We start from the raw sequence: 12,883 nt of genomic DNA, 5'->3' as shown, positions 1-12,883 counted from the left end.
TAATATGAGTATATTTAACTCTATGTAAATTAAAACTAAAAGTCTATATGCTTGCAGGCAGAGAGACCACATGTTCAAAGAAAACTATATGACAAATATTTATTAATTATTTTTCAGGACTCAGAAATGTATGGACTTTATTTGTATTTCTTCTTTTTTTTTTTTTTTGAGATGGAGTCTCACTCTGTCACCCATGCTGGAGTGCAGTGGCGTGATCTCGGCTCACTGCAACCTCCATCTCCCGCGTTCAAACGATTCTCCTGCCTCAGCCTCCAGGCATGTGCCACCATGCCCGGCTAATTTTTTATTTTTAGTAGAGGTGGGGTTTTGCCATGTTGGCCAGCCTGGTCTTGAACTCCTAACCTCAAGTACTCCACCTGCCTCGGTCTCCCAAAGTGTTGGAATTACAGGCATGAGCCACTGCACCTGGCTGTATTTTATTTATATTTTTGTATAATTATTATGACCATAAAAAAATCCTGTAGTCAATAACAATTTAATTGTACATTTTAAAATAATGAAAGCATATAATTATACTGTTGGTAATACAAAGGATAAACGCTAGAGGTGATGGATACCTTATTTACCCTAATGTAATTACTACATATTGTAGGCCTCAATCAAAATATGCCATATAAGGCATAAATACATACACATACTATATACCCACAAATACAATAACAAATTTTGATAAGAAAAAAGAGTAAAAATTTAATCTATGGGAACAATATTCTTTAACTCTTTTGCAGTTTAATGCCACTGGCAAAGTGATAACTAGAGATGTTATTCCACTATGTACCAAATAGTATGTTGCTACCATCTTGTAGCTACACCCTTGAGTAAGGTGGGATAGGTTAAAGTTAGTGGCATAATAATGCTTCATTAAATGCACAATAGTATTAACATGGTAAAAAATAATAATAAAATTGAGTTCACACATAATCTAACTATTTTTTTTTTTTTGAGACAGAGTTTTGTTCTTGTTGCCCAGGCTGGTGTGCAATGGCATGATCTCGGCTCACCACAACCTCTGCCTCCCTGGTTCAAGCGATTCTCCTGCCTCAACCTCTTGAGTAGCTGGGATTACAGACATGCACCACCATGGCTGGCTAATTTTTTTGTATTTTTACTAGAGACGGGATTTCTCCACGTTGGTCAGGCTGGTCTCGAACACCCGACCTCAGGTGATCTGCCCACCTTGGCCCCCCAAATTGGTGGGATTACAGGTTTGAGCCATTGAGCCCAGCCCTAACAATTGTTAGATGTACTGCATTTTATTACATAAAACTACAATTAGTAAAATAATATACTAATTTATTTTAATATACTTTTAACTATAATTATTTATGTCACTATAATGTAGAAAAGTATTGCTCTGAACATTTACCTTATACATTACTTAATAGAGGTTTACTACAAAAAGCCTCTCCGCTTATATTTTCATTATGCATCTTACATTTTAATGTCCTTACTCTTTTATAGAAAAAGTCATAATGTCCAAATAATTTTCAAAAATCTCTAATATCTCTGATGCAGAAGCAATTTATCACGTCCTTTCACATGTGAATAAGAGTAAAATAACAGCGTAAAGTAATTTAAAAGCTGTATGACATCATTATGCAGTTTTCAAAAAATTTTATTCAAGGAAACAAGTATACTTTCAATGTAATTACAATGCTTCCAAAAATCTACTCCTTTTACAGTTACATGCAAATCATTTATCTAAAAACTGTAGTTGTGGATTAGTTTTTATACTCAACACTCTGATTTAGTGTAATGTCTGAAGTGTCAGTGCCTTAGTTATTCTACTGTAAATTCTCTGATATTTAAATACATTCTATTTTGAATTAGTTTTTTATATTTACCACATTTGCAAAATTATATTTTGGTATAAACTCTCTGGTGTTTTCTAAGCTGTAGTTTCTGAAAAAAAAAATAAGTGTTTCTAAGCTTATTACATTTGCAGGACTCATCTCCAATATAAATTCCCTGTTGTTGAACAAAGCTTGAGCAACTGCTTCAAGGTTTTCCTCTAGTGCAAAGTGTGTGCAATAGGATCAGTGATACAAGTAAATGTACTATAACCCCCTTTATATTTGTAATAGTTGTCTTCACAATACTCTTCTTCACATTAAATGCTTATACTTTCTGAAAGATTTCTTGACTGTAATTGCACTTTTAATGCTTTTATTAAAAGGAACCTTTTTATGTTGAGTAAGATGTGAGTAGGAATTAATGGGTTTTCCATATTCCTTATAGTTGTACAATTTTTCTCAAGGATACTAGCTTTCCTGTGAAATAAAGTATAAGAACGGATGAAAAGTTTTGCCACATTTTTCACACTTGTAGGAGTTTTGCCAATATGAATTATCTTAACTACAATCGAGTGTGGCAACCATATAAAGGCTTTGTCACATTTTATATATCTCTAGGTTTTCACACTAGTATAATTATTTTTATGTATAGAGAAGTTGGAGGTGTTGGTAAAAACTCTGTCAGTCACATTTCTTAGGTTTGTAGAGTTCCTCTTCAGCATGAATTATCACCAAGTCTCCTAAGAATTGAGAACTTGTGGCTGGGCATCGTGGCTCATGCCTATAATCCCAGCACTATAGGAGGCCAAAGCAGGTGGATCACCAGAGGTCAGGAGTTCAAGGCCAGCCTGGCAAACATGGCAAAATCGTGTCTCTACTAAAAATATATAAATTAGCTGGGCATAGTGTTAGGCAGCTGTAATCTCAGCTACTAGGGAAGCTGAGGGAGGAGAATGGCTTGAACCCAGGAGGCGGAGGTTGCAGTGAGCCAAGATCGTGGCATTGTACTCCAGCTTGGGTGACAAGAGTGAAACTTCATCTCAAAAAAAAAACCAAAAAGAATTGAAAACCTGTTATAGGTTTTGCCCCATTCTTCACACTTGTAGGATTTCTGTCCAGTATGAATTCTGTATAATAAGGGTTGAGAACTTCCTAAAAGTTTTGTCACATTCTTTATATTTGTAGGGTTTATGTTCCATATAAATTCTCATATTTAGTAAAAGTTGATAGCTGGTTAAAGGCTTTCCCACATTCATCAAACTCATAGGGTTTCTCTCCAGTATGAACTATCTTATGTCTGGTAAGTGTAGAGGAGTGCTTAAAGGCTTTGCACATTTTCACATTTGTATGGTTTCTCTCCCATATGAATTATCTCATGTCTACTAAGGTTTGAGGATGAAATAAAGGCCTTGCCACATTTATCGCACTTGTATGGTTTCCCTCCAATATGAATTTTCTTATGCGAAAAAAAGTTGCAGAATGGTTAAAAGCTTTGCCACATCGTTCACACTTGTATGGTTTCTCTCCAGTATGAATCATTTTATGTGTAATAAGAATAGAGGACCAACTGAAGGTTTTGCCACATTCTTCACATTTGTAGGGTTTCTCTTCAGTATGAATTTTCTTATGTGTAGTAAGGTTAGAGGAGAAGTTAAAGGCTTTGCCACAGTCTTCACATTTGTAGGGTTTCTCTCCAGTATGAATTTTCTTATGTGTAGTAAGGTTTGAGGACTGGTTGAAAGCTTTGCCACATTCTATACATTTGAAAAGTTTTTTCCAGTATGTCTTATCTTATGTCTGTTTGAATTTGAAAATTGATGAAAGACTTTCCCATATTTATCACATTGAAATATTTTGCTCTGGGTAGTTGTCAAACATTGGTTAAGTCCATTATAACCTCTTTTGTGCGCCTTACACTCATCTACACTTTCACAGCCTTCTTTTAACTGTAAATTCTCATGTCCACATTTTTCATATCTTCTCAGTATCAGTTTTTGGAAATAATCTTTTATGCTCTGCTCTGGCCAAAGATTTTGGGTAAAATGAGAACACAAAACTGAAAGAAACAATAAAAACACATTACTTCAATTGCTAGACTCAGATAAATATACTTTACAAATCTAACCTATAAAATTATACAAACTACATAAGCAAGATGACATAGCAAAATACCACAAGCTGTAATTTCTTCCTGGACATATAAAGGTAACAAAAACATACTGACCAAAATACATTTGTAAAAAATTTATAAATGGGTTAAATGGATGAAGGGCCCCAGGTGAGCACAATGCAAAGAGCCACATAGAAGAAAAAGAAAAGTCTGTTACTTATACCCAACAGAGCTCTTCCTGCTCTCCAGTATAATATTGTGTCTTTAAAAGTAAATTGCTGGTTGGGCGCAATGGCTCACGCCAGTAATCCCAGCACTTTGGGAGGCTGACATGGGTTGATCATGAGGTCAGAAGTTCAAAAGCAGCCTGGCCAAGATGGTGAAACTCCATCTCCACTAAAAACAGAAAAAATTAGACAGGTGTGGTGGCAGGCACCTGTAATCTCAGTTACTCAGGAGGCTGAGACAGAGAATTGCTTAAACCCAGGAGGCAGAGGTTGCAGTGAGCTGAGATCATGCCACTGCACTCCAGCCTGGGTGACAGAGTGAGACTCTGTAATGGCAGAGTTGTAGTGACCAAGATCATGCCTCTGAGGCCGGGTGCTGTGGCTCACACCTGTAATCCCAACACTTTGGGAGGCCGAGGTGGGCAGATTACCTGAGGTCAGGAGTTCAAGATGATCCTGGCCATCATGGTAAACCACATCTCTACTAAAAATACAAAAACTTAGCCAGGTGTGGTGGCATGCACCTGTAATCCCAGCTACTTGGGAGGCTGAGGCAGGAGAATTGCTTGAACCCGGGAAATAAAGGTTGCAGTGAGCTGAGATTGCACCATTGCATTCCAGCCTGGGTAACAAGAACAAAACTCTATCTCAAAAAATAAAATTAAATAAAATGAATAAATAAATGAACATATAAATAAAATTATATAAAGAAAAAGATATAGAATGCCTGAATGGTTTTTCAAAAAGTATACACTATGCTGCCTATGAGAGATCATTTTAACATTGAGTCAAATAGGCTGAAATTAACAGAATGAAAAAAAGTTATATTCCATGAAGATAGTAACCACAATTGAGTGAGGTGGTCATAATTATATTAGACAGAATATGCTTTAAGTCAAGTACTACCATGAGAAAAGATTGATATTATATTATGGCAAAAGTGAGTTGATTTAGCAGGGATCTATACTACTTATCTATCTCTATGTATATGTGTATATAACATCAGGGCTTCAAAATATATAAAGCAAATATTGACAAAAGTGAAGCAAGACATACATAGCAACATAATCATTGTAGACATCAAGACCCCATTTGCAATAATAAATAGAAAACTCAGATAAAAAATAAGAAAAAGAAAGCTGAGATAACATTATAGACCATATTAATTATTTTACATATAGAAGAATAGTTGAGAGTGCATAATTTATAAAGAAAAAATGTTTATTTGACTCACAGCTCACCAGACTGTACAAGAAGTGTGTGTCAGCATCTGCTTCTGATGAGGATTTCAGGAAGCTTAAAATCATGGTGGAAGGTAAAGTGTAACTGGGTATATTACATGGTAAGAGACAGAGCAAGTGTGAGGTGAAGGAGCCAAGTTCTCTTAATGAACCAGCTCTTATTTGAATTGATAGAGTGTAAACTTTTTGGTTATGAAGAGTATGTACCAAGCCATTCGTGAGAAATTCACCCTCATGACCCAAACAAGTCCCACCAGGTCCCACATCCAACATTGAAGATTTATATCCCAGCATGAGGTTTGGACAACATGGACATCCAAACCATATTATAGACCAACTAGGGTTCAAAGACACATACAAAACTCTCCAGTCAAAACCAAGATAATATACAATATTCTTATTTGCTTCTGGTGTATTCTGTTAGGACATATACCAAGTTTTATTAAATTTAAAAATATCTACTGGGTGCCATGGCTCTTGCCTATAATCCTAACACTTTGGAGATCCATTGAGGCCAAAAGTTTGAGAACAGCCTGGGCATCATAGTGAGATCCTAACACTACAAACAAGTAAACAATTAGCCAGACATGGTAGTGCATGTCTACAGTCCTACCTACTCAAAAAACTGAGGTGAAAGAATCACTTTAGTATTAGGAGATATACCTAATGCTAAATGATGAGTTAATGGGTGCAGCACACCAGCATGGCACATGTATACATATATAACTAACCTGCACATTGTGCACATGTACCCTAAAACTTAAAGTGTAATAAAAAAATTTAAAAAATTTAAAAAAAAGAAAGAATCACTTGAGCCCAGGAGTCTGAGGCTACAGTGAGCCACAATTATGCCACTGTGACAGTAAGATCTTGTCTCAAAACAACAACCAATCACTTTAGAAACACTAAAATTATACACTGTGTGTTTTCTAACAAAAACTGAATGAAATTAAGAATTAAAAGCAAAAGTCAAACTGGCAAATTCACAAATATGTGAATATGAAACACACTCTTCAACATATTCTTGCTCAGGGGCAAAATATTTTATTTTTCAAAGATGTCAATACAACCTACAGTTAAAACCTACAGTAACATAAAAAAGTGATACTGACACAAAGACAAACAGATGAAAGAACAGAATAGAGAGCCCAGAAATAAACCCTTCTGTATATGATCACATAATCTTCCAGAAAGTTGCCATGCATATGAAATAGAAATAATCTCTTCAAAAAATGATGTTGAAAACTGAATGTCAACACTGATAAAATAAAGTTGGATTATTTCCTTGAATGATACAATAATATATTTTAAACTAAATACAAGACATAAAATGCACAAAAGGGAAAAAAACATTTGAAAGAACATACAAAATTACTAATTTGTAGAGAAATCAAAAAAAAGCACAATGCCAACAAAATCACCTCACACCCATTAGGTGCAATAAAAATAAAACCAATGTTGATTGCTGGTGGAAAACAAAGACGCAGCCATTATTTTAAAATGTTATAAATGTTCCTCATTTATAAATCTATATCTAAACTATGTAACACAGGCCAGGTGCAGTGGCTTAAGCCTGTAATTCTAGCACTTTGGGAGCCTGATATGGGCAGATAACTTGAGGTCAGAGGTTTGAGACCAGCCTGGCCAAAATGGTGAAATACCATTTCACTAAAAATATAAAAATTAGCTTGGTGATGTGACATGCACCTGTAATCCCAGCTGCTTGGAAGGCTGAGGTAAGAGAATCACTTTAGCCCAGAAGGCAGAGGTTGCAGTGAGCCAAGATCACACCACTGCACTTTAGCCTGGACAACAGAGTGAGACTCCAGCTCAAAAAGAAAAGAAAAGAAAAGAAAACAACAATAACAAAAAAACAAAATATGCAACACAGGACCTGGAAGACATAACTGAAAATCCATGCGTATTGTACCAGTATTCACAGAAATGAAAAAATCCAGCCGGGCACATTGGCTCATGGCTGTAATCCCAACACTTTGGGAGGCAGAGGTGGGCAGATCATCTGAGGTCAGGAGTTTGAGACAAGCCTTGCCAACATGTTGAAACCCCATCTCTACCAAAAAAATACAAAAAATTAGCTGGGTGTTTTGGTGAGCACCTCTAATCCCAGCTACTCGGGAGGCTGAGGCAGGAGAGCCGCTTGAACCCAAGAGGTGAAGGTTGCAGTGAACCAAAATCACGCCATTGCCCTTTAGCCTGGGCAAAAAGAGTGAAAGCCCCACTCAAAAGAAAATAAACAAACAAATAAATAAATAAATAAATAAATAAAAATCCTATAATTCCTTTTTGCCTGCAGCAAACTTAAATGCATAAGTAACTAGTTTAGTAAATATGGGTCCCTACAAATTATCTAATTTACTTCAGGCATACCATGAACATTCTAGCATATTGTCCTAAATATCTGAATCTAAAATTATGGATTTCTTCAGATGAAGAAACATAGGTCAACAGTTGCTGTTTGTAGATCATAGAATCCTATATTTAAAAAACCATAAACAGTACATTAAAACCTGTCTAAACTAATAAATAAACTCAGTAAATTAGCAAAATATAAAATTAACACACAAGTATATGTATGGTTTCATATACTTAAAACAAACTATCTGATAAGGAAGAAAAAATCTTATTTAATGTAGCATTAAATAACAAATTTCTGAGAAAAACATTAACCAAGGAGGTAAAAAATGTTTACAGTAAAAAAATAAAAAAATTAGAAGATCAAAATTAATTTTAAAATATTTATGTCTACGGATTGAAAGAATATCATTAAAGTTTCATATTATCCAAAGTGATCTATAGATTCAATAAACTTCCCATCAAAATTGCAGTGGTTTTTTTTACAGTAATGGAAAAGACAATTCTAAAATTTACATGAAACTAAAACAAACTTTGAATAGCCAAAGCAATCTTGAGGAAAAAGAACAAAGCAGAAGGATATCATACTTAAAATTTCAAACTATATTTCAAGACTGTGTCATAATAAAAATAGAATGGACTGTGAACAAAAATGAACAAAAAAATGCAACAGAAACTACTACTCTCACATATTTCAGACCTGATGCAAAAAGAGAACTAAAAAATAGTTTTAGTTTCTCAAAATCATGCAGATATTTGTGTGTCCCCAAAACAATGAAAAAGCAGCCAGATTGTGCAGTCTCTTATATGCCATGAAGAGGACTTTGGCTCTCACTGTGAACTTGAAGGAAGCTCACTGAAAGAAAAGTAGAATTTTTAGAGAATTTAAAAGCATAAGACAGAAGATGCCCCTTTGTGAGAGCAAAATTTAAAAAATAAATAAATAAATAAATAAAACAGCTGCCCAGGAAGTATTTCTTTGGAACACAGCTTCCTGAATCACACTTTAAGGACTGGCTTTCTCTTTCACCTTGGGACCTCTTACCTGTGTCATCTGTTGTATTCATTTTCACTCACACCTACCTGAGGGGTTGGCTACCATCTCATGTCTCTTCATAGTCAAAGGTTTTTTTCCTTGCTCCAGATGGGTGATGAGGTCTGGCTTTAAGACAACAATACCTGTTTTATCAAAAATAAATAACATGAATCTTGCTCATATTCTCCAATTACAAGCTAGTAATGTGCTCAGCAAAGACGATGTGACAAAATATTCTGGTAAATTAATACCAAAATACAAATTTATAACAGCAATTTCTAAATATTTAGAAAATATTTTCAATTTGCCTGGTGCAGTGGCTCATGCCTGTAATCCCAGCATTCTGGGAGGCCAAGACAGGTAGATCACAAGGTCAGGAGTTTGAGACCAGCCTGGCCAGCATGGAGAAACCCCATCTCTACTAAAAATACAAAAATTAGCCCAGCATGGTGATGTGCATCTGTAGTCCCAGATACTCGGGAGGCTGAGGCAGGAGAATTGCTTGAACCTGGGAAGTGGATGTTGCAGTAACCCAAGATTGCACCACTGCACTCCAGCCTGGGCAACAGAGCAAGACTCCATCTCAAAAAAAAAAAAAAGAAAATACTTTCAATTTGTAGGTTTCTTAATTTTACTGCCTGGTACTACTGAATCAAAAATTGGTGGTGGCAATTAGATTTTCAGGTGGAAGCTGCAATATTTTTGTGTGTGTGTGTGTTTTAATCTTTTATTTATTTTTATTTTTTATTTATTTTTTTTTGTATTGATCATTCTTGGGTGTTTCTCGCAGAGGGGGATTTGGCAGGGTCATAGGACAATAGTGGAGGGAAGGTCAGCAGATAAACAAGTGAACAAAGGTCTCTGGTTTTCCTAGGCAGAGGACCCTGCGGCCTTCCGCAGTGTTTGTGTCCCTGGGTACTTGAGATTAGGGAGTGGTGATGACTCTTAACGAGCATGCTGCCTTCAAGCATCTGTTTAACAAAGCACATCTTGCACCGCCCTTAATCCATTTAACCCTGAGTGGACACAGCACCTGTTTCAGAGAGCACAGGGGTGGGGGTAAGGTCATAGGTCAACAGGATCCCAAGGCAGAAGAATTTTTCTTAGTACAGAACAAAATGAAAAGTGTCCCATGTCTACCTCTTTCTACACAGACACAGCAACCATCCGATTTCTCAATCTTTTCCCCACCTTTCCCCCTTTTCTATTCCACAAAACTGCCATTGTCATCATGGCCCGTTCTCAATGAGCTGGTGGGTACACTTCCCAGACGGGGTGGTGGCCGGGCAGAGGGGCTCCTCACTTCCCAGTAGGGACCGCCGGGCAGAGGCGCCCCTCACCTCCAGGACGGGGCGGCTGGCCGGGCGGGGGGCTGACCCCCCCCACCTCCCTCCCGGACGGGGCCCCTGCCGGGCGGAGGGTCTCCTCACTTCTCAGATGGGGCGGCCGGGCAGAGATGCTCCTCACCTCCCAGACGGGGTCGCGGCCGGGCAGAGGCACTCCTCACATCCCAGACGGGGCGGCGGGGCAGAGGCGCTCCTCACATCCCAGACGGGGCGGCGGGGCAGAGGCACTCCCCACATCTCAGACGATGGGCAGCCGGGCAGAGATGCTCCTCACTTCATCCCAGACGATGGGCAGCCAGGCAGAGACGCTCCTCACTTCCTAGACAGGATGGCGGCTGGGCAGAGACGCTCCTCACTTTCCGACTGGGCAGCCAGGCAGAGGGGCTCCTCACATCCCAGATGATGGGTGGCCAGGCAGAGACGCTCCTCACTTCCCAGACTGGGTGGCGGCCGGGCAGAGGCTGCAATCTCGGTACTTTGGGAGGCCAAGGCAGGCGGCTGGGAGGTGGAGGTTGTAGCCAGCTGAGATCACGCCACTGCACCCCAGCCTGGGCACCATTGAGCACTGAGTGAACGAGACTCCGCCTGCAATCCTGGCACCTCGGGAGGCCGAGGCTGGTGGATCACTCGCGGTTAGAAGCTGGAGACGAGCCCGGCCAACACAGTGAAACCCCGTCTCCACCAAAAAAGTACGAAAACCAGTCAGGCGTGGCGGCGCTCGCAGGCACTAGGCAGGCTGAGGCAGGAGAATCAGGCAGGGAGGTTGCAGTGAGCCGATATGGCAGCAGTACAGTCCAGCTTCGGCTCGGCATCAGAGGGAGACCGTGGAAAGAGAGGCAGAGGGGAGAGGGGAGAGGGAGGTTGCAATATTTTATGTCAATAAATTTCTGGAATTACCACTAATTTAGAGTGAAAAATACAACTCAACTCAGAAATGTGGAAAGTTTATATTTAGATGAAACATGTTGAAGAAATTTTTTTCTTTTTTTTTTTTCCTTGAGATGGAAACTTGCTCTGTCACCCAGGCTGGAGTGTAATGGCATGATCTCAACTCACTGCAACCTCTGCCTCTTGGGTTCAAGCGATTCTCCTGCCTCACCCTCCTAAGTAGCTGGGGTTACAGGTGTGTGCCACAGCCCCCAGCTAATTTTTTGTACTTTCGTTAGTTGGCCAGGCTGGTCTCAAGCTCCTGGCCTCAGGTAATCCCCCGCCTCAGCCTCCCAAAGTGCTGGGATTACAGGCATGAGGCACGGAAGTAATTCTTTTCTAAATGCACAAATTCTGAAGATTTTCTTGAAAAACTGGATCTGAAACTCATTTATAAAAAGAACAAATTACTAAAACACATTCTACAAAAAAGAGAAATAAACCTTTTGTGTATATTATGAATTATATATTCAAGTTGTCCTCACCAAGGAAGACCAAGTTTCTGTAGTTCTCTAACATCACATCCCTATATAAATTCCGCTGTGCTGTGTCCAGGCAATGCCACTCCTCCAGAGAGAATTCTATGGCCACATCTCTGAATTGTAATGTCCTCTGAAAAATACACACACACATTTTCACCAAGTGACCATGAATGAAATTTTTAATTTGACTTAAGGTGAAATGAGAGAGTAAAGACACCTGGTTCTGACTTATAGTACTGATGAAAATTATCCAATAAAATAATTTTCAACACAGAAATACTCTCCAAAATATTCTCTAACTCTGAGAAAAAAGAGAAGCATAAGATCCACAACATCAGTTCATATATTTTTCTAGATAATAAAGTATAAATTTAAGGGCATGAACATGAACAGGTACATTTTTGAGTGCTATATTTACATCATATGGAAAGAGTTGTGAATATTTTTCAGATGAAAATGACATGTTGAGTTAGAAGACACTTCTCAAATTTTAATATGTGCAATAAGCTGAATACCTTGTTATACAGGGTTTTTTTTTCCAGAAGATCTGGAATAAAGTCTGATTTTTTGAATTTCTAACAAGCTCATCAATAATGTCAATGTTTTTGGCCAAAGAAGGAGGATATTTTGTCAAACAGCCAGTAAGTGGAAGAGCCTGTGTTTTTCCCAGTTTTTCTGACCTGTAAACAAAGATAAGAACCTTCATTTTCCAAAGAAAAATATATAGATAAAAATAAGAAAAAAGGACAGCTGCCAGATTAAATGTGATGGTTTATGCACATCAGCTGCATAAACATACTTAATAATGAAGAGAAAAATAACTAGCTACATAGTGAAAAAATCTGCCAGAGGGCTATTTAAGCAAGTGAATCATTAACTGCATTAGGACTAATTTTTATGATGTGCTAATGCACACAGAACACAGCATCACTGTTGAAATATTCCTCTTTTAAAAAAGTAAGTAAAATCTGAATTTAATCATAAAGAATCATTTGTTTTATGGAAACCACAAAATACAGATAAATCCTATGCTCTGTAATTTTTAGTAGTAATTTTAAGTCGGCTTCATTTAGCACCCTAGAGAGCAGGTATCTCCTAATAATTTTTTTCAGAAATTTCTGAGTAATAAATGCCATCACATTTAAATGAGCAATTTTTTTTTTTTTTTTTTTTGAGATGAAGTCTCACTCTTGTCCCCCAGGCTGGAGTGCAATGGTGCAATCTTGGCTGACTGCAACTTCCACCTCCTGGGTTCAGGTGGTTCTCCTGCCTCAGCCTCATGAGTAGCTGGGATTACAGGCACCTGCCAACAAGCCTGGCTAATTTT

General features: G+C 38.1%; 1 pseudogene; it reads right to left on the bottom strand.

Annotated features, from left to right (window-relative positions):
* On the bottom strand, window positions 2,619-11,682 carry LOC100129265 (zinc finger protein 66-like; annotated as a pseudogene).

This window comes from Homo sapiens, chromosome 19, assembly GCF_000001405.40.
Source record: "Homo sapiens chromosome 19, GRCh38.p14 Primary Assembly".
Lineage (NCBI taxonomy): Eukaryota > Metazoa > Chordata > Mammalia > Primates > Hominidae > Homo > Homo sapiens.
The sequence above is the reverse complement of the archived record's forward strand: the minus strand, read 5'-3'. Positions and strand labels throughout refer to the sequence as shown.